Consider the following 23,060-nt stretch of genomic DNA (forward strand, 5'->3'; position numbering starts at 1 on the left):
ATCATGTTTATGGATGAATACATATGTAGAAAATATATTCTAATACGGAGTGGAAAAATGTATACTAAATTCTAAATTTTTGCTAATAATTTTTTCTGGGAATGGAAGTAAAAGTAAAGAAGTGTAGGAATATCTTTCAACTTTATCAGTAAAATATTATTTCATATAAGAGATTAGAATAATATGTGGCAAAATGTTAATATCTTTTCATTTGTGGTAGTGAGTATATGGTTGTTTGTTGAAGATTGTGTTTTCCAAATGAAAGAAAACATGCAAATTTAATTTAATCCTTTCCTTAAAAACAAGGAATATATGGTACACACTTAGGGCATTTTTGTACTTGTGAGGTAGTATTAGTTAGCTATTTTTACATCTGAGAGTTTATTGCATAATCTTTCGTGAGATTTTAAAAAAAAACCTTTGGACAATATTGCTGAGTGTAGTTTAAACTGGGAAAATACAGAATTATTAGCCAGGAGTGCATTGTATGATTGGATTTAGTATAATTAGACTCTCTTCTAGCCTATCTAAGGGCTTTGGAGAGCAAAAGCAAAAGATTAACTAACTGCTCACATGGGTCCCAGGAAAATACAAAAGCACTACTGTTTAACAGGAAAGTTACTATCCAGAAATTAACCCACAAAGGTGGGAAGAGTATTTACCCGCTAATCTCTTTATTCCCTCGCCTGACAAAATATCTGCATTCCTGGGCGGCCTCAAGGTAAGAGAACAAAATGCCGGCTGCCTGTTCATTTCCTTTCTCTATATTCTTCTCTCTATATTCTTCACACATGGTTCATAAAATAGAAACTCTAACTTTAGGACAGGTTGTGGAGAAAGCTTCTTACTTTCTCTCTAGCCCTGGTTTAGCCTACATCTTTGATGTAGCTGTGACTTATCTCAGTGGTGAGAAGGTGCATTAATGGTGCCTGTTTTAATTAATGAAAGGACTGACAAGACTCTGATAAAAGTAAGGAATACAGTGTAGGAGGAGGAGATAGTATAGGTAAGCATCAAGAAAGTCTGAGACATCCAGGCTCAGCTTCCAACATCTATTTTGTATCACACAAAGCATGCTTCATTGCTGGGTCACAAACCACCAAAATATGTGTGATATACCTTGGTCTCTGGAAAGCCATATTCTCATCCATAGGGGGATATTTTGTATTATTCCTGGTCACCTAATCAAACCAGGCTGGAAAGGAAATCAAAATAGTATAAGAGAAGCCAGGTGCAAAACATCAGTCTGAACATTTTTTATAGACAATGTTGACAAGATAATACAGACTATCCCCTACATGTGGCACCTTTGCATGGAACTGTGTTGATCAACAATTGTGACATTTTTAGTTTGGTTTGCCAACAGTCAGCATCATGTCTCCAGATAGCTTCAGCAATGAGAACAGGGTTGTAACTGAACAACAGAAATTCACCCTATACGTGTACACAAGGGCTCTATGGGCCAGTAAATAGGTGCTTTTTCTCTTCTCTGTGCTTCGTAGTACTATATCTATATGGTTCATGGTACAAATCTCAGGAGAGCAAGTCTTCCTGTAACAGCATTTCCTCTGTGACTAAGGAGACAGGTCAGCTTGATGAAAAGAGATTTACTAGCTTGTAGATTTCAGGCAGCATTCTGAAATCTGTTTTTTCTTCTGAAACAGAAGCATTCTTCCATCCTGTTTTATTAGTAAAAAGATGAATGATTAGTCTCCATTTAAGTCTTCTATTTTTCAATATAATTGAGAATCCAAAAACGAAAATGTTTGCATGGAGAGGTTCCCTAGAAGTTAGTAGACCTCTACATCACTATTGATTCTACCTTTTTCTTTGGAGAAGAAACATGTTAGAGTAGCATGACTTTTTCAACTCTCATTTTCATCCCTGTCAAGCTAGGGGACTGGTATAAGAAACACTGTAGTATTTCTCTAAGGTTATTCTAGGGAGTATCAACATTAGAATCACATGGAGGACAACACATGGAGTTCTCCAAGTGGGACCAAGTGATCTGGCTACTTTACCAATCTCTAGATAACTTTTCTTCACTAATGTTTGGGAACTGTGTTTACAAATTTCATTTTTTGTGTTTGCTTTCTTTTCTTGTTTATCCCTCTTACTCATAGCATTTATCTCTCTTCTTGTACAGTACTCCTTTTTCTATTACTGTCACTTTAGTGGTGTGTGAGACAATGAGGATTTAAAATAGTCTTTTTTAAAGGTTATGTATTTGGAATCTAATATGAAAACCTCTTCAGGTCAACTAATAACTAAGATTTATTGAAGTTGCACTGGGTTCCATCTTTTGTTTAAAGTTACTTTCATATATGAACTCTTTTTATACTTAAAACATTCTTTGATATAGGTTTCAATATTATTATCATTACAATTTTATTGATGAAGAAATGCAGGAACAGCTAGGTAGAGTAACTTATCCAATGTTACACAGCTGGAAAGCAATGCATTCAAATCTAACTCCTTTTAAACACCACTCTGCTGGTTGATTAGGGGTATGTTGCCATCAAAATCTACACAATTTACATGGTATGGACTCTTTCTGTAGGTGGCACGATGTCTGTCACTAAAACAAATTGAGTGTTCAGAAACTCTAAACAATTTATTTAACTGTGAGCATACTCTTTGGACTCATCTTTACACCACAGTAAAATAAGAGGTGGAACCACTTGCCCATCTGTGCTAACTTCTTGCTAGTGTTAAATCATTTTGCTTATATTTGACTTTGATTGCTTCACCAGAAATGAACTACAGACATCTATTCCCTTTGTGATACCTCCTTGGAATCAAAGTGTGGAGTGTAACAATGTGCCTCCACACACTCACACTAGTTGATGCTTCATCTTGGTGAAATCAAGTTTTTGGAATTACCTTTCCTAAGATCATTCTATTCACAGAGAAGGAGCTTAATGTAAGTGAAATTTTGTAAAAACCAAAGGTATGTACCATTTATATGTTGCCCAACATATAAATACTGAGAGAGTAAAATGAAAACTGTAGCAAGGAAGAAATCACCTCATCTTAGTGGGGTAACGTTACAGGCTTTTTTTTATTAATGGAAGATAATAAGATAATGATGTGGTTTCTGTGGATAATTAACATTTTAATTGAAGAATCCCTGGTCCCATAGTAGAAATCTGTTTTTCCAGAAATAACTGTTTCTTATGTTCCCTGCAGAGGTCCTCAGTGTACAAAATCTTTCAGTATACTGGGATGAAAAGCTCTTACTGGGGGGACATTTTTTGTCCTTTATAGGTAAACAATTAAACAAAAGCTACTTTTTATAGTGAAATGTAACATCCATAGATAAAAGTGCATTAAACACAAATTTAGAGTTTAATGAATAATTATAAAGTGAAATATGTAATCAACAGCTGATAAAGAAGGAGAGCACTACCAGGAATGTGCAAGTCATAAGATTTCACAGTAACAATTGCCTTCCTCTCCCTAAGAGTAACCACTATTCTGATATTTATGATAATTACTACCTTGCTTTTTAAAATATCTTTACACTATTTTTTAGTTTTTCACAGTTTTGATGTTTTCATATAAATGAATCATACAGTAGGTAATATTTTATGTCAGACTTCTTAATATTTGTAAAATTTACCTATTTTGTCGCATAGGCATAATTTGTTCATTTTCATTCATGTATAAAATTCTCTTACATAAATATTCTTCAATTTATTTATCCATTCTTCCATTACAGTTCATTTTTATTTTTCTATTTTGTGGCTATCAATAATAATGCTTCTATGTACATCCTTGAACTTGTGTTTTGGTGCACTTTTGCTTGCCTTTCTGTTGGATTATAGACCACATGTATCATCAATACAAGTAAATAATATCAAAAATTTCAGTCACACCAGCAGTAAATGAAAATTCCTATTACTATTTATTCTCACAAATATGTGATATAATCACTTTTCAAAATTTAAGTTAATTTTGAAATAATTAAGCATGTTAAGTGTTTATACTGAGATTCTGTTAATTTTAATTTGTATTTCCCCATCTACTGATTATTGGACATTGCAATATTTATTTTAGGGGAAGTGTGTGTTCAAATTTCTTAGACATTTTTCTACTGGTCTATGTTTTTCCTGTCATATTTATATGTTATGTAATTGTATTGTCTTGTTTCACAAATATATTCTCCTACTTTGTTCCTATATTTTCACTGGCATAACTTTTTTGATAAATAGAAACTCTTAGATTTAATATGGCTAAATTGAAAAATATTTTTCTTTATAGTTAGTACTTACAATATCTTGTTTAAGAAATATTTCCCTAAAGTGAGAAAATTATCCTAAAATAAGCTTTACTTTTTTCTTTCACATTTACATTACTGTGGGTGTATGTATTATATATATTATATATATGCAAAATAGATACTCATATGTATGTCTTTTATACTTTTATATATAGACACACACATGTGACTTCAGAGTGCCAGCTTTTTTATAAATCAAATGTTCATATATTAATATATTTCTGAATGCTTTCATTTTTATATTATTCTAATTGTCTATCTTTTATAATAAGCTTTGCTAACTTGTAGAATAAGTCTTGTTTTTCCTCTAAAATGTCTCGCCTATTCTTGGCTTGGTGTATTTCCAGATAAATTTTAGAATAAGATGATCAGGTTTAAGAAAATAGCTTGTTGGGATTTTGATTGAGTTTGCATTTGTACACACAGAAAAAAACATAAGATTTTATCTCTTTGCAATATTGAGTCTTCACATCCATTGGCATGGCTTATCTTTCCATTTGTGTAATTATGCATTTCTTGTTAAGTGTTTTATTTGTGAAGATGTGTGAATGTATTTGGGTATATTTATTTCTATGTATGAAAAATTTAATGCAATAATACATTTTATTATTTTATTTGTTTTTTCCCCTTTTTAATTCTTAAATTTTGTTTGTTTTTGGATCTTTTGTTTGTTTTTGTTTTGGTAGAAATGGGATTTCACCGTGTTGTCCAGGGCGGTCTCAAACTCCTAAACTCAGGGCATTCGCCTGCCTCGGTCTTTCAAAGTCCTGGGATTACAGGCGTGAGCCACCTTGCCTGGCCAAAGCTTTTATTTTCTTTCTATGCCTTGTTGAAGTGATTAGGCCTTCCAGTAAAATGAAGACAAGAAATGGTTCTCACAGAAATCTTTATCTCATACCCAATCTCAGGGCGATGGCTCTGAAAGTTAATCATTAGTTGTGATATTTTCTATAAATTTTTGTGGATACTATTATCAAATAAAAAAATTCCCGTTTATTATTTATTTGCTTAGAGTTTTTATCTTTTATTGATGTTGAATTATGTCAAGTGCTCCTCTGTATATCTGAAATAAACATACAATTGCTGCCATTTATTACTTTAATGTGGCAAAGAACATGACAATTGTTCCAATATTGAATGTATCTTTATATTTTTGGAACTAAGCAAAATTCAGCATAATATGCTGCCCATTGTTTATATTGGTGGTTTTGATTTTCTAGTATTACGTTTAGCATTTAGTACCTGTGCTCGTAAATGAGATTAAACTGCAATTTTTTAAAGGTAATGTTATTAATTGATTTTGATATACTGGTCTCATAGGTAAGTTGAATGCTTCAATGACCATTCTTTGAAAGAATTTGTTTGTGTTTAGTATTATTTCCTGTTTATAAGTTTGGCAAAATTGTCTTGTGAAGCCATCTGGGCTTGTAGATTTTTAATTATCAGTTTAATTATTTTAGTGGTTATAGGATTATTTAGAATTTATCTTTGATTTTAGATCACTTTGGGTAGGTGGTATTTTCCTGGGAATTTGTCTGTTTTATCTTAATAGCAAAAACTTATATACATTTTATAATATTCTCATATCTGTGTAATATTCCCAGGATCTATAGTAATACTCTATTTTTATTTGTGACATGGGTTGCTAAAAAACTATTTTACTTTTAAAATGAATAAACATTATTCTGTATCTTCTTATTTTTTATCTTGATCAGTATTAGCAAGTGTTTATTCTTAATTTTTTTCAAAGAACAAAATGTTAACTTTATTTACCTTTTCTATTTTATATTAGTTTTCTGTTCACTTATACTTATTCTTGCACATGTTATTTTATCTCTCTAATTTCTTTGGGATTATTTTGGGTTTTTAAAAAATGTATTGAGATTACTACTTAGCTTATTATTATTTCTTCTAATATGTAAATATAAGCAAACACATTTCTCCTTAAGCTTGCTTTAGTTTCCTGCATTTCCACACTTCGATATACCAATATTATTTTATTACAGTTCAAAATTATTTTATTTTCCATTTTGAAATATTCTATGACTCATAAATTTGGAATATGTTTTTAATTTCCCAGTATGTTGAATGCTTAAATTATAGTTGATTCTCACTATTCAGGGATTCCATATTTTCACATTCACCTATTCACTACAGTTTATTTGTAACCCCCAAAGCAACACTTGGGGTGCTTTTGCTGTCATTTGTGAACGCATAGAGAAAGGAAAAACATTTGAATGATACCTATTCTCAACTGAGGTTAAACAAGGGGACATCCGCCTTCTTGTTTTGGCTCTCACACTATAAACAAGTGTCCCATTGCAACTTTTTTTAGCGAAATTCTTTGTACATTATTGTTGGTTTTGCTGGTCATTTCACTATTTAAGATGTACACCAAGCATAATGCTGACATATTGTCTAGTATTTCTAAGTACAAGAAGACATCATGGGTCTTACTGAGAAGATACGCTTGTTACATAAGCTTCATTCAGGCATAAATTATAGTACTTTTGGCCATGAGTTCAATGTTAATGAATCAACAATATATACTTAATAAAGTATCTTTAAACAGAAATGCACATAAAATAAGGTTATGTATTTATTGATTAATAAAATGTTATAAGCAGAGGCTTACGGGAAGCTAACCTTGTATAATATTTTCCCTAGGAGCAATGGTTCAGTATTCACTAATTAAGTGTTCACTGAAACTTTACAGAACATAACTACCATGCATAACAAGAATTGACTGCGTGCTTTTGTTATTGATTTCTACCTTTATTGTGTATGTTCAGAGAATGCATTCTGATATTAATCTTCTTAAGTAAGTTGAAATCTGCTTTATGCTTCAGTATATGATCAGACTGTAAATTGTTTTTGTGTCCTGAAAATGTCCAAGTGGGCCCTAGATTCTCACTTTGATCTCAGAAATGCTACTCTTCTGTCAGCTGCAAAACCTGCAATGAGCAGATATGTACAGACAGCATGTGTCTCCAAAGAACAGGCTCAGCTCTCTGGATTCTGTTTCTTATGGATTGGGGCTTGGTCATTTCTCCCTATTTTGCTGGTTCTCTGATGCATTAAAGCAGATTTTTATATTAGGTGCAGCTTTTTCAGTTGTTCTAGGTATACTTATATAACTTATTTGATTAACATGGACTATCAGTAATAGAAGTAAATATTGATTATTAACTTTTAAATTAGGGAAGATTTAAAAGTTCATAAAGGGCTTTTAAGATAAATAAACACACAAAATGAATATTTTGATACCATAATAAGTAACTCATATATTTTATATGTAAATAACCTATTTAATGAATATTTCCCCATCAGAAAAATTATTAGATTTTAATTTAAAATATGTAATTATGTAATTAATTTTATACGTGATTTTAAAACACAATCTTACTAAATTAATAATACTTAAACATTTAATTCAATTATATATTGACTATATTAATAAATTTAATTGATTTTTCCAAGTTATGATATTAAGGCATTCAATTCTTTTTTGGTAGAATATAAAAGTATGGCAAAAAGGCAAATTTTAAAATTTGTTCGGTATTAAACTTTTGGATAATGTAATTAATCTTTAGAAGCTACATTAGAAGTCACTATTAGATTTTTCTATGTTTATAAACAAAATTTTTAAAGCTGTTAAGTATAACTTGAAAGATAAACCAGAATCATTTTGCTTTTATAAATATAACAAATTGTATATTTACCTTTAAAACCAAAGTAACTACAGAATTTATTATTTTTTTCATTTACAAAAGCACCTTCATGGACATCTCACTTCAGCTTTCTTAATTATCAATGCAGAATAGTCCAGGATAAACTTAACAATAATGATTGGTACTGACATTTAAGATATTCAAAATGAAAGACTCCATACATTAACAAACATTCAAATTTTTAACATAGTTCTTGGCATCCAATTAGTTGTTAATTATAATCATTTTGTTGAAGTGTCTACTTAGAGTCTATAATTATAAATGCTGTTTATTTTCTAAACCAAAGAAGTTATTTAATATCCTATTATTTTAGTAAAATGTAAAGTATCTGAGAACAAGTTTTTCTATTTCGTTCATGGGTGGATGTCTACTATCAGGAATGAAAAACAAAAATAAAAATCGGAATGAAGATGTAGTCAATTTTTTTTTGTTTGTTTATTTGGTTTCTGTGTATAATAAAGAAGAAATTGAATTCAATCTATGTGTATGTTGATGGGAAGGATCCAACAGAGGGAAAAACAAAATGAATGGTATATGAGAAGAAGCAGATAATTGTTGGAACAAAATTCTACAGTAAACAAGATGAATAGCATCTAGTGTATGCATAGGGTGCCTGCATTTACTGGAGAAGAAATGACAGTTAATGAACTGTATGTAGCAAGAGCAAAGGAAGACCGTATCATTATTTTAAACAGGTTTTGCTGATTGCTTTTTTGGAAGACGTTTTTTTCTCACGTAATAGTTTTAATATTCTCACTGAGTAAGAAGTAACTTTATTAGGTCAGCATGTTTTGGAAAGGATTAAAAAAATGGTTTTGAAAGTGTGAGAAACAAAGCAAATGTACAAAACATTGAAGGAAGGAAAGTGATATTTGTCCTCCTGAATTTATTGTTACCAGGAGATACTGAGGACTGAATTATTGGTAACCCAGAATGTTGAAGGAAGTGCGTGGATTACTTTAGCTTCCCTTCATTTTGTAAAACAGAATAGAGTTCAAAACTTTATCGAATCAAGTGGATTTTGATAAAGCAATCAACCATGCTCCTCATCATTATTAATCTTATTAAACTTTCTAACTGAAAATGTTTAAACATGACATTTAAAAATTTAGGTGACATTTTTAAAAAAATTGTATTGATCTATAATAATCCTACATACTTATGGGGGTACAAATGATATTTTGTTACATGTATAGAATGTGTAATGATCAAGTCAAGGTATTTAGGGTATATATCACCTTGAGTATTTATCATATTTATGTGTTGGGAACATTTCAATCCTTTCTTCTAGCTATTATGAAATATACAATATTCAAGTTTTATTAACAACAATCATCCTAGTCTTCTATTTAATATTGGAATGTACTTTTTTCTATTTAACTCTATGTCTGTATCAATTAGCCAACCTCTCTTCATCACTCCTTCTTGCCTCCCCCACACACAATCTTCCTATCCTCAGGTAACTATCACTCCACCCTACCTCCATGAGATCATTTTTTTTTAGCTCCTACATATGAATGAGAAGACCCAATATTTTTCTTTCTGTGTTTGGCTTAACATAATGGCCTCCAATTCTATCCATGCTGCTGCAAATGACAGGTTTTTATTCTTTTTAGGACCTAGTAGCATTCCGTTGTGCATATATACCACATTTTCTTTATCCATTCATCTGTCGATGGACACTTAGATTGATTCCTTATCTTTGCCATTGTCAATAATGCTTCATAAACACGGGGGTGCCGATATGCCTTTGATACACTGATGTATTTTCCTTTGGATAGATACCCAGTAGAGGCACTGCTGGATTGTATGGTAGTTCTATTTTTAGTTTTTTCAGAAATCTCCCTACCCCATTGTATTAGTCCATTCGCACACTACTAATAAAGACATACCTGAGACTGGGTAATTTATAAAGCAAAGAGGTTTAATTGACTCACAGTTCAGCATGGCTGAAGAGGTCTCAGGGAACTTACAATCATAGTAGAAGGGGAACTTAACACGTCTTTCTTCATATGGCAACAGCGAGGAGAAGTGCCGAGCAAAAGGGGGAAAAGCCCCTTATAAAACCATCAGATCTCGTGAGAATTCACTCACTATCAGGAGAAGAGCAGCATGGTGGTAACAGCCCTCATGATTCAATTACCTCCCACCTCGTCCTCCCATAACACGTGGGGATTATGGGAACTGCAATTCAAGATGAGATTCCAGTAAGGACACAGCCGAACCATATCCCACAGCAACTGTGTATAAGAGTTCCCTTTTCTTCACATCATTCCCAGCATCTATTTTCTTTTGCCTTTTTAATAATGGCTATTCTAACTATGATAAGATAGTATCTCATGGTGGTCTTGATTTGTGTTTCTCTGATGATCTGTGATATTGAGCATTTTTTCCATATACTTGTTGGTTATTTGTATGTCTTCTTTTGGAAAATGTCTATAGATATTTTTTGCCCATTTTTAAATTGGATTATAGTTTTATTGCTGTTGAGTTGTTTAAGTTCCTCTTATATTCTGAATATTATTCATTTGTCAGATGAATAGTTTGCAAGTATTTTCCCATTCAATAAGTTGTCTCTTCATTCTTTTGATTGTTTATTTTACTCTGCAGAGCCTCACAGTTTAATATAGTCCTATGTATTCAGTTTTGTTTCTGTTGTCTGTCCTTTTGGGGTCTTAGCCATAAAATCTTTGCCTAGGCCAATATCTTATAGTGTTTCTTCTGTTTTATTCCATTAGTTTTATAGTTTTGGGTCTTATGTTTAGGCCTTTAATCTATTTTGAGTTTATTTTTGTGTATAGTGAGAGATACGGGTCTAGTTTCATTTTTCTGCATATGGATATCCAGTTTTCTTGGTACCATTTATTGAAGAGGGTGTCCATTTCTAAATATATATTTTTGGAACTTCGTTGAAAATCAATTGGTGGTAAATTCGTGAATTCATTTTCGGATTCTCTAGTCTGATTCATTAGTTTATGTATTAGTCAGTGTTCTCCAGAAGGACAGAACCAATTGGAGATACATATCTGTCTATCTATCTATCTAATCTATCTATCTATATAAGTTTATTAGGGAGAATTGGCTCACATAATGACAAGGTGAATTCCCACGATAGACAGTCTACCTTTTTCAACCCTTTTACTTTGAGTTGATATGTGTCTTTACAGGTGAAGTGAGTTTCTTGTAGGCAGCATATAATTGGGTCATTTTAATAATCCATTCAGGTAGTCTACATTTTGTCAGTGGAAAATTTAATCAATTTACATTCAAGGTTATTATTGATATGTGAGGACTTACTCTTGTAATTTGTTGATTGTTTTCTGGCTATAATGGGGGATCCATTATATGTGACTAGATATTATTCTCTTGTTTTTATTAGAATTCTATCTTTGTCTTTGACTTTTGATAGTTTTACTGTAATGTGTCATGGAGAAAAACTTACTAGGTTGCATTTGTTTGGATTTCTCTAAACTTCCTATATCTGGATGTCTAAATCTCTTGCTAAATTTTGGAACTTTCCAGCTATTATTTATTTAGGCTTATAAACCTATTATGCTTAGGTTTATAAAACTATTGTGTTAAATAGGTTTTCTATGATTTGGTCTCATCTTCCTGTTTTCAACACTCAATATTTGTATATTTGGTCACTTTATCATATCCCACATGTCAAGTAAGGTTTTTTTTATTGTTTTATTTATTTATTATTTTTGGTCTGACGGTTTTTATTTTGGGGCTATTTTTAAAGATCAGTCTTCAAGTTTTGGGACACTTTTTTTTTCTCTAGTTTATCACTGAAGCTCTCAAATAAAGTTTTTATTTTATTCATTGAATTATTTGGTTCTAAGATTTGTGTCTTTTTAAAATATCTATTTTTGTGGTGAACTTCTCACTCACATCTTGAATTGTTTTTCTGATTATTTAGTATTGTTTATCTGAGTTCTCCTGCATCTCACTGAGATTCTTTAATTGCTGAATTTTAATACCATTTTTTGAATTTTTTCAGCCTTTTATAAGCTTTTTTAAATTGACATCTGTTACTGGGGAATAATTATGTTTCTTTGGACGTATCATATAGTATTTTTTCAGGTTTCTTGTGCTCTCTTATTAATATCCGTGCACTGGTTTAATAGTCACTTCCAATTTATTGGACTGGCTTATATGGGGAAAGACATCTTCCTGAAGATATATCTATTGTGTTGGTTAACAAGGAAGAACATACCAGCTTTAATTCTGGGTTCATGCAGTAGCATAGTCTCCATATGAGTTCTTTAGCTGTAAAAAATATCAGCTTTGTCTGTGATTCCCTTAGTGACATAGGCTGTGGTTGTTAATGGAGGCTGTGGTGAGGCTTTGCCACAGACAAGGATACCAGTCCCTAGACCCCAGTGGTAGCAGTACTGGGCTGAATGTGTCTGTCCTTGGACTTCCTGGTGGTGTATGCAGACATGACTGTTAGTGGGTTCAAACGGGCCAATTATTGGGCCTCCAGGCAGATTACTTAGTTGTTAGTAGTAACAGTGATGGGCTAGGTAAGTGGGCAGGTCCTCAGTCCACTGGGTAGTATGCATGGAATGGACAATGACAGTAGCAGTGAAGAGTCAACCATTAGACTCTGAAGTGGCAGATATTGGCATTTTTTAATGTACGATTTTTGCTAAATTTGAGGGATATATATATATATATATATATATATATATATATATATATGTACACATTTTTTTGAGACAAAATCTCACTCTGTCGCCCAGGCTGGAGTGCAGTGGTGTGATCTCAGCTCACTGAAACCTCTGCCTCCTTGGTTCAAGCAATTCTCGTGCCTCAGCCTCCCAAGTAGCTGGGATTACAGGCACGCACCACTGTGCTCAGCTAATTTCTGTATTTTTAGTAGATATGGAGTTTCAACATGTTGGCCAGGCTGGTCTCAAACTCCTGACCTCAAGTGATCCACCCGCCTCAGCCTCCCAAAGTGCTGGGATTACAGGCATGATCCACCGCGCCAGACAGAGGGAGATATATTTGTATTTATAGACTGTCTACAAAGAATGAATTCTGAAACTGACTATGCTTGTAGTTAAATGTTCAAGTTCAAATTATTGAGACTATGCTTCAAATGAACTATACTTCAATTAAAACTAGATGTATGGGATATTTCTAATATCTAGTATTCTAGATATTAATATCTAATACTAATATCTAGTATTCTAGATATTAATATCTAATACTAATCTCTAGTATCACAAATGTAGATACAATAAAATGTAAACAATGTAGCTATTAAATATGATTACAGAAAATGTTCTATTTATTTTTGTTTATAATTTTTCTCCATTTTTCAGATGTATTGGTAGATTTTAGATGTTATAAAATGTGTTAAATGAGGCTCCTAATAATTAATTTAGTAATATTTGACTGATAATTTCTGATATTAGCATTACTAAGAAAATTCTAATTTGACCACAATGCACAATAAATTTTATTTAATAGAGTCAGAATAATTTAATTTTCAAATGATAAAGCTTGGGTAGGTTTTATCAAATTTTTAATTACTACAGTGAGTGGTGTAAAACAATTGATTAACATTTGTAATAAATACACATATGTTTATGATGTTTTAAAATGAATCAGAAATGAATTCTCACATGAATTTCAGAAATTGGCAATATTCATTAAATACTGCCATCTATGTTAACACAGAAAAGTGTTTCAAGCAATTTATTTACAAACGTATGAATAAAATTTACTTCATAATTCAACAGGTCTATTCTTTGTATAGCATCTATAGGCACAAAAAAGGGTCAAAGGATTATGGTTATTTCCTTATTTAATTATCAGAAAATTACATTAATACAGTAAATGTAGTCTCTGAGAAACAATCCCTGAAACTTGGACCTCAGTCATGCCTCATTTCTACTACCTCTTTTTGAGTGTCTCTCTCCTCCACTGCCCTCATGGCTGGGAATAGCCACCTTGCCCCACTTCCCATTTCTCACCTTTTGTAAGGGAAATCCCATGGAAAGACAGGTTCTGGAACCTAGCAAGGTGCAGTGCAAGGCAGAGTAACTATTTTCTCCTCCTCCACATTAATACTAATAGAATAAGAAGTAATTGTTTGTCACTTTATACTGCCATCACAAGAAATGCATGTAAAATGTTTATTCCTCATCAGCTTACACAGGGCAGGTTCCTTAAGCCAACTCTCAACTCTTTTATGGGAGTAACTTTTTCCCCTGAACTTTTTGAAAGACAAAAAAAAAAAAAGATTGAGCAAGTAAACTGATTTCTAGCCAAAATAATAAAGTTACAAATGGGTAGTAAAGGCAAGTATGAATAAAATTCAGAGGAAGGGACACCAACTTGGCTGAAGTGATCAGGAATAGCATAGGATAGTGATAATGAGCATAGCCTTTATCTTTTTGGAAGTTTGAAAGATATGCATCTTAGTAGAGGTTGAAAAGGGGTATTTTATTTAGTTACTGAATTGAATCTTATTACTGCACAATTGTATTAAATTGCATGTACTGTATTTCCCATACAACTGTCTCTGGTTATATGGGAAAATAGTTAATATATTACCAACATTGACTTTTATAGACTGTAAAACACAGGGAGAATAAAACCATTTCCATTTTTGTCTTATCTAGAAATAAATTTCATGAAATCATATCTAGGAATTCTGATTGAAACGTGATGGATTATATAATGTTTTGAATTTTTCTCCTCTTATCTCAGGAATTGTCCAAGAACAAGAAGAAGAATGAATGACAAAAACATAACTACCATTTCAGACGACCGTGAAATCCATGATTCCAAACTATATAATGCAGGGAAGAATTACCCTAAGTAATAAAGGCTGGACAAGGTCATTGGCTGGGATTATTTTGAAAATATTTAATAAAAAGAACGCCTCAGGAATTAACCAATTGGAACAGATTTTGTGGCTAATCAAAACAGATACTAATCATTAAAAAACAAAAATCAAACTGAAATATCTCTGGCACATTCTATTGGCTACAACCCAGCATTAGTCCTCGAGGCCTAGTCCAGGAAAAAAACAGGGAGTGATGCTGTAGGCCGTACTACAGAACTAGGAGTAAAGCAAATGTTAAAGAGAAAGCATATGTTAAAATCTCAGAAAATGTAGACGTGCTATAACTACAAAAAATAACTAAAGGGGAATGAAGAGTGAAAAATGTAGTGAAATAACCTGTTTCCTCATCTTTTAAAATTTAGTGTTAACAATAACTCTTTAATAGATAAAATATTGAAGATGGCCCATTAGAAGCAGTGGCAGTGCCAAATTGTTTTCCAGTTTATATTCCTATAAGCAATTTTTGAGGATTTCATTTGTTTAATATCCTCTCCTACATTTTTATATTGTCAGTATTTTAAAACATTAGATATTTTGATGGATGGATGATAGTATCTCACTGTGGCTTTAATTTGTACTTCCTTGATGAGTAACGATGGTGAGCATGTTTTCATGCACTTATTTCCCATTTGATAATTCTCTCTTAAGTGACTGTTAATGTCTTTTGTCCATTTATTTGTTGGGTTGTCTGTCTTTATCTTACTAACTTTTAGAAGCTCTTTAGATCTTTAGACATTAAGTATATGAGTACCTTTCCAAAAATATGCAAATATCTTCTCCTGATTTGTGCTTATCTCTTTTACTCACTTTTTCTGATGAATGGAAATCCTTAATCTTAATAGTGTCTAATTTATTTTGTTTGTTTTTTTTTACTTTGGGTTAGTGCTTTTAATTTCTTATTAAAAATTTCATACTTTACTGTCAAAAGTTATTTTCCTATGTTTTCTTCTAAAACTTTTATGTTTTACTTATCAGTTTTGTCTGTAATCCATCTAGCATTGATCTTTGAGTGCAGTGTGAAGAAAATGTCAAGATGACTTTTAAAATATTTTTAAGCAATAAATAGGCATTCAGTGGCATTCAGTGGGGAGGAGAATTGTTTTAGAATGACTCAAAATCTAGATTCCTTTAAGGAAGCATTTATGATAAATTTGACAACACAAAGCCAAAAAGAAAACAATCAGTTTCTTTGAAAAAAATTATGAAGAATGTCAAAGAACAAACACTAAATTGGAGAATAACATTTTGCATGAATGATTCTCTCATTTTTTGCATGTGGTAGCATCTACAAATCAACAGGAAAAATACCAATTACTCAATATCATTTTTATATATTAGTTAAGATATAGATGAAGCTTCTGTAACAAATGTCAAAATAACAATAGCTAAAACAAGACAGCTTTTAAAATTAGTTTCGTGTGTGTGTGTCATAAAATCATGTGTGTATAAGCAGGCCAGGCCTTCTACTGTTGTCTGGTCTTCCAAAAAATATGATTTCTATTCAAGGCTTAAAATAGCTGGTCTGTCTTCCTCCATGTTGTACAAATATTAGTCAGTATCAAAAAGATAAGGCAGTGAGAAGAGATATCCCTTTTCAAAAAACAACTGAGAGGTCACACACGTTTCTCTTTGCATCCCTTCTGTGAAAATTTAGCCATCTACCCACAGGGAAAGTTGGAAATGATTATTCAATAAATGACAAAGGGGAATACAACTATTGAAGGCTCTAGGATTCTCTTTTTTCCAGGGAAAGACATATTGACATTTCATAGAAATTGGATCTCAAACACAATAAAATGACAAGATTAATCTAAGGAAAATGTAAATTTTAACCTCAAATATGTATTGTTTTAACCTACCTCATGGGCAAAGATCTAAAGTTTTGATTCTACATGTTGTGGGCAACGGTAGGGGAAAGAGGCACTTTTTCTATGTCTACACCCACCTGAAGAAAACATAAGCTGAAATACTGTCTATTGCAGTTACAATATTTATAAAAATTTTAAATTCACATATCCTTTCACCTAGATATTCTACTGCCAGTTATTTAGCTTCTGCAAATCCAAGCAACATAACAGGTGTGCCAGGAAACTCAGGACAGCATTGAAAATAATATACATGTTTATTAACTGAGGCAGCTTCTTATCAATCATGTTCTGGTGGAATACTATGCACAACTAAAAAAGAGTATGGCAGTTGTATTTAAAGTGATAAAAAAATAAAATGCTATTCTATGTAAGAACTTTTTTTTTCTTTTTTTTTGAGACGGAGTCTCGCTCTGTCACCCAGGCTGGAGTGCAGTGGCGTGATCTTGGCTCACTGCAAGCTCCACCCCCGGGGTTCACGCCATTCTCCTGCCTCAGCCTCCCAAGTAGCTGGGACTACAGGCGCCTGCCACCACGCCCGGCTAATTTTTGTATTTTTAGTGGAGACGGGGTTTCACCGTGTTAGCCAGGATGGTCTCGATCTCCTGACCTTGTGATCTGCCCACCTCGGCCTCCCAAAGTGCTGGGATTACAGGCGTGAACCACTGCGCCTGGCCAGAAATTTTTTTAAAAAGCAACAGATAAAGTAATATGCAATGTATAATAACTTTCTGTGTAAAAACAATAAAAATTGGCCGAGCATGGTGGCTCACGCCTGTAATCCTAGCACTTTAGGAGGCCGAGGTGGGCGGATCACCTGAGGTCAAGAGTTGGAGACCAGCCTGGCCAACATGGCGAAACCCCGTCTCTACTAAAAGTACAAAACTTAGCAGGGCATGGTGGCAGGCGCCTGTAATCACAGCTACTCAGGAGGCTGAGGCAAGAGAATCGCTTGAACCTGGGAGGCAGAAGTTGCAGTGAGCCGAGATCACGCCACTGCACTCCAGCCTGGGCAACAAGAGCGAGACTCCATCTCAAAAAAATAAAAAAATAAAAAAATAAAAAAATAAAAATAAAAATTGTATATGTGTGCGTATGTACATAATCTCAAACAATAAATTGGAAGAGGAATTTACAAAAAAATCTAGTAATGGTGGATGCTTCTAGGGAGAAAAATTAGGTTCTGTGGGGGCTAAGGCGAGAGAATGCTTAGTTTTACTTCCTTTCTTTTCACCCCTTTTGAATTTTTATTGCATGAATAATTACCTTTGCAAAGAAAATAAAAATCAGGTTACACTTAAGAGTGCTCAAAGATGAAAAAATATTCATTCATTGAAAGATGTTCCCAAATGTTAAACTAAGTCTAGTATTTAAATGTTATCTAAAATAGGCCTAAGATGTTTAATGTCAACTGAAAATAATGTTATCTCAAGTTAATGATTTTGACTGCCTTGTAAATACCAAGACAAAACCATAGTGTTTATTTTTAATGAAATCATACTGGTTTGCTTGAATACTTTTATGTTTCCTCTGAAATTATGTAAGTACACAATTTTTCTATGATTTTATCTGCAGCTTTAAAATGTGTATGCTGGCCGGGCGCAGTGGCTCATGCCTGTAATCCCAGCACTTTGGAAGGCCGAGGTGGCTGGATCACTTGAGGTCAGGAGTTCAAGATCAGCCTGGCCAACATGGGAAAACCCCGTCTCTACTGAAAATACAAAAATTAGCCAGGCATAGTGGTGCACACCTGTTATCCCAGCTACTTGGGAGGCTGAGGCAGGAGAATCCCTTGAACCTGGGAGGTGAAGGTTGCAGTGAGCCTAGATTGTGCCACCACACTCCAGCCTGGCTGATAGAGTGAGACTCAGTCCCAAAAAATAAAAATAAAATAAAATAAATAAAATGTTGAAGCTGATAAATGCTGAGTAACAAGCAAGCATTTGGAAAACCTATATTCTACTCTCTCTCTACATTACTACTGACCTAGTCTATGGTTTGAATATCTAATGTAATACCTTTCAAATTTCAGTATTTGCATACATGCATTTGGAAATATACTTATCTCACTTGCCACCTATTGACTTCATGATAGTGGGTAAGTAATATTTTTTGAAAATGATAACGGAAGTGAGAGAGGATCAGGAAAAATAACTAATGGGTACTAGGCTGAATACCTAGGTGGTGAAATGATCTGTACAACAAACTCCATGACACAAGTTTACCTATGTAACAAACCTGCGCATAGAGCCCTGAATTTAAAATAAAAGGTAAAAAAACAAAAAATCATAAAATGAAGCATTCTGCAGAGTGTGATCATGTCTCATGGTAACTTAAATTTAGGGATGTCCTCACAATGACTAAATTTACAAGAAACTGATTTTTTTCTAGTCTTCCATATATATTAAACAGAATGCTATTTTACTAATTTTTTTCTGAGAGTTATAAATGATTCAATTCTTCTTATAAGAAAGCAAGAAAAATTGCTAAGTGAGCTTTCTTAAAAAAAAGATTTGTTGATGGTTCAAACATTACCTTTCCATCTTCATAACAGAGATATAGCTTTTAAATGGGAAGCCCAAGATATTTTTGACAAGGAATTATTGGTGTTACTAAAAGTTTCTTCCTGAAAGTCTTATTCTCTGTTTCTGTTACTGATGAGAGTTGTTAATACAATTTTTTTTTCAACAAAACAGCTCCAAGTTTTTCACAACAGAACAAATTTTCCTTCTTACCTGCCACTCATTCAGCCGCATTCATTGGAGTCCGTGCTCTCCTAACCTTTTTTTTTTTTTTTTTTTTTTCTGAGATGGAGTTTCGCTCAGTTGCCCAGGCTGGAGTGCAGTGGCGTGATCTTGGCTCACTGCAACCTCCACCTCCTGGGTTCAAGCGATTCTCTTGCCTCAGCCTCCTGAGTAGCTGGGATTACAGATGCCTGCCACCATGCCTGGCTATATATATATATATATATATATATGGAGTTTTTTTTTTGGTATTTTTAGTAGAGACAGGGTTTCACCATCTTGGCCAGGCTCGTCTCAAACTCCTGACCTCAGGTGATCCACCTGCCTTGGCCTCCCAAAATGCTGGGATTACAGGCATGAGCCACCGCACCTGGCCCTGACCTCTTAACTTCCTATTTCAGTTCTCTTCATTATGCCACTCAATAGGTTCTTTTGACAATAAGCCACTTATTGATAACAGGAGCTTCTAACATTGTCTCATTGATTCTTTACTTCCACCTGCCTCAACATTTATTGGTCATAAATTTCAATCAATTTATTTTACTACCGGACTCTATCAATATCTACTAAGTTATTGAGAAAGATTGTTCCTAGATCATGTGTCAGAAATTAGAACCTTGGCACTTCAAACTCACTATACCAAAGGGACAGTTAAGCTTGGGAATGGAGTCACACAAAAGTGTCTCTTTTTTTCCCAAATAGATAGCTACAATTTCACAACCCTGTGTCATAGCCTTATACATAAGCCAGGTTCCCAGAGTGCTAGAAGGCTACATATCTCCCCAGGGTGGCCTCCTTCACAAATTGCTCACAAGGAAATTCTTGTGGTTCTCAAAATCATTCAGGATACCTATCCTTCCGATAAGCTAGCACTAAAACCAAGTTCTGTTAAATATCACCCAGCAACGTCAGTTACCGGGTTATCCTCACAGGTATAGGACAAGAACAAGACTAGAATTCATCCCTCTGCCTACCTTGAAGTGAATGCATAAATGACTTTTTTTCCTCTATTCCCTCTTTTCGCATGTTTATCTGATGTAAAATGTACGTGTACTGAGTGCATAATTGGCTTTTTCCTCTCCTCCCTATTTCACATGTAAAATATAGATTCACTGAGCACTAATCAGAGCCTCACAAGAATGTAAACACTGGCCTCACTGCCTACCCTCACTCCCCTTTTTAAATCCTCCCTCTCCTGCTTGCCCTTTCCCCTTTAAATTTTGAAGTTTCCAAAACTCTCTTTGGAAAAAGCACAGGCCACAGATCCTCCTGTGATTTGTGTTTCTTTTTCCTAGGTGTGTCCTTAACCTTAGCTAAATCGGCCTCTAATCGATTGATACCTGCCTGAGTCACTTTTTGGTTTACAGTTATCAGACTATGTTTTAGCCACACTTCAGAAGCTTATTTATCTAATTCTGAATTTAGTGCTTGAACGTAGAAAAGAGTAGAATTTTTTAAAATTATTATTATTTTATTTTTGTAGATTTAGGGGGTACAAGTTCAGGTTTGTTACATGGATATTTATATTGTGTAGTGGTGGAGCTTGGGCTTCTAGTGTACCCATCACCCAAATCGTGTACATTGTACCCAACAGGTAATTTTTCAATCCTCACCCTCCAACCACTCTCCCCACTTTTGGAGTCCTCAGTGTTTATTTTATTTTTTGTCTGCATGTCTATGTGTATCCATTGTTCAGCTTCCACTTATAAATGAAAACATAGTGGATTTGTTTCTGAGTTATTTCACTCCAGTTCCATCCATGTTGCTGCAAAATACCTGATTTCATTCTTTTTATGGCTGCATAGTATTCCATGATGCATATATACCACATTTCTTTCCTTTTCTTTTCTTCTTTCTTTCCTTTTTTCTTTCTTTCTTTCTTATTTTCTTCAGACAGGGTCTCACTCCATCATCCAGGCTGGAGTGAAGTGACAGATTTCGACTCACTGCAACCTCTGCCTCCTGGGTTCCAGCTATCCTCCCACCTCAGACTCCTGAGTAGCTGGAACTACAGGCAAATGCTACCATATCTGAATAATTTTTGTATTTTTTTGTAGAGTCGGAGTTTCACCATGTTGCCCAGGCTGGTCTCGAACTCCTGGCCTCAAGAGACCCTCCTGACTCAGTCTCCCAAAGTGCTGGGATTACAGGCATGAGACACCATGCCAGGCCATATACCACATTTTCTTTATCCAATCATCTGTTGATGGACACTTAGGTTGATTCCATGACTTTGCAATTGTGATTAGTGCTGCAACAAACAAGCAAATACAGGTGTCTTTTTGATCCAATCATTTGTTGATGGACACTTAGGTTTATTCCATGACATTGCAATTGTGAATAGTGCCGCAATAAACAAGCAAGTACAGGTGACTTTTTGACACAAGGATTTTTTTTTCCTTTGGGTAGATACACAGTAGTGAAATTCCTGGATCAAATTGTAGTTCTATTTTTAGTTCTTTGAGAAATCTCCATACAGCTTTCTGTAGAGTTTCCATACAGGTTTCCATAATTAACATTCCCACAAACAGCGTATAAACATTCCCTTTTCTCCTTATCCTCGCCAGCATCTGTTATTTTTTTTTTGTCTTCTTAGTAATAGACATTCTGACTGGTGTAAAATGCTATCTTATTGTGGTTTTATTTTGCATTTCTCAAATGATGAGTGATGTTGAACATTTTTTCATGTTTGTTGCCGCTTATATGTCTTTTTTTAAGAAATGTCTTTTCTGTCCTTTGCCCACTTTTTAATGGGGTTATTTGTTTCTTTACTTTTGAGTTGTTTGAGTTTCTTGTAGATTCTGGATGTTAGTTTTTTGTTGGATGTGCAATTTGCAAACTTTTTTCCTATTTTGTAAGTGGTCTTTTACCCTGTTGATTTTTTTCTTTTGCTGTGCAGAAGCTTTTTGATTTAATTAAGTCACATTTGTTTATTTTTGTTTTTTGCTGCATTTGCTTTTGAGAATTAGTCATAAATTGTTTTCCTAGATCAATGTTCTGAAGAGTTTTTTTTACTAGGTTTTCTTCTAGGATTCTTATAGTTTCAGGTCTAGAGAATTTTGATATTTAAAATCATTGTAAAGGAGATTATAGGATTAATTGTCCAAACCAAGACACTGTGGAGATGAAAAAGGAAACTTAGTAATTTTGCTCTGACAAAAGACCTAAACTGGGTGGCCAAGACCACCTGGATATGTGGTCACTCTATAACTCAATATTTCTGAGGGGAGTTGTCAAGGTGAACCCTAGAAATGTTTTTAATGTTAATGTCTTCCCATAATAAATTATGCCTAAATAGCATTACATGAACATGAAAAGACATCAAGAGTAAAACTATCCAGTAGCCTTTTCATTTTCTAATATTAAAATTAAAATGCTATTATCAGCTACTGTGAAGATAGCAGGTGGCCTGTGTACATATCACTGATTTAGGATAAATTCACCTGAGCTCCAGATGATATAAATGTCCAGCCAGGCAGCTTTGCCAGCATCAGGTGATCCATGGAGCCAGGTGGGCATCTTGACAATGAGAGCCCATAAATAAACTGACAATGGCTGCTATTGCAGGTC

At 33.7% G+C, this 23,060-nt stretch overlaps 1 long non-coding RNA gene across 6 annotated transcripts in view; it reads left to right on the forward strand.

Moving 5' to 3' along the window:
• Window positions 1-620: 620 nt before the first annotated feature.
• LOC105369842 (uncharacterized) overlaps window positions 621-23,060 on the forward strand; it is an 86,958-nt gene continuing 64,518 nt past the window's right edge. For 4 of the 6 annotated variants that reach the window (XR_001749205.2, XR_001749206.2, XR_001749204.2 and 1 more), the window contains exons 1-2: window positions 621-721; window positions 2,754-2,950. This is a non-coding gene — a long non-coding RNA (uncharacterized LOC105369842). Of the gene's footprint in view, window positions 722-2,753; window positions 2,951-14,742; window positions 17,155-23,060 lie in introns of those variants that run through there. The other 2 variants (XR_001749208.2, XR_945099.3) reach the window with 2 other exon arrangements.

This window comes from Homo sapiens, chromosome 12 (genome assembly GCF_000001405.40).
Source record: "Homo sapiens chromosome 12, GRCh38.p14 Primary Assembly".
Taxonomy (NCBI): Eukaryota; Metazoa; Chordata; class Mammalia; order Primates; family Hominidae; genus Homo; species Homo sapiens.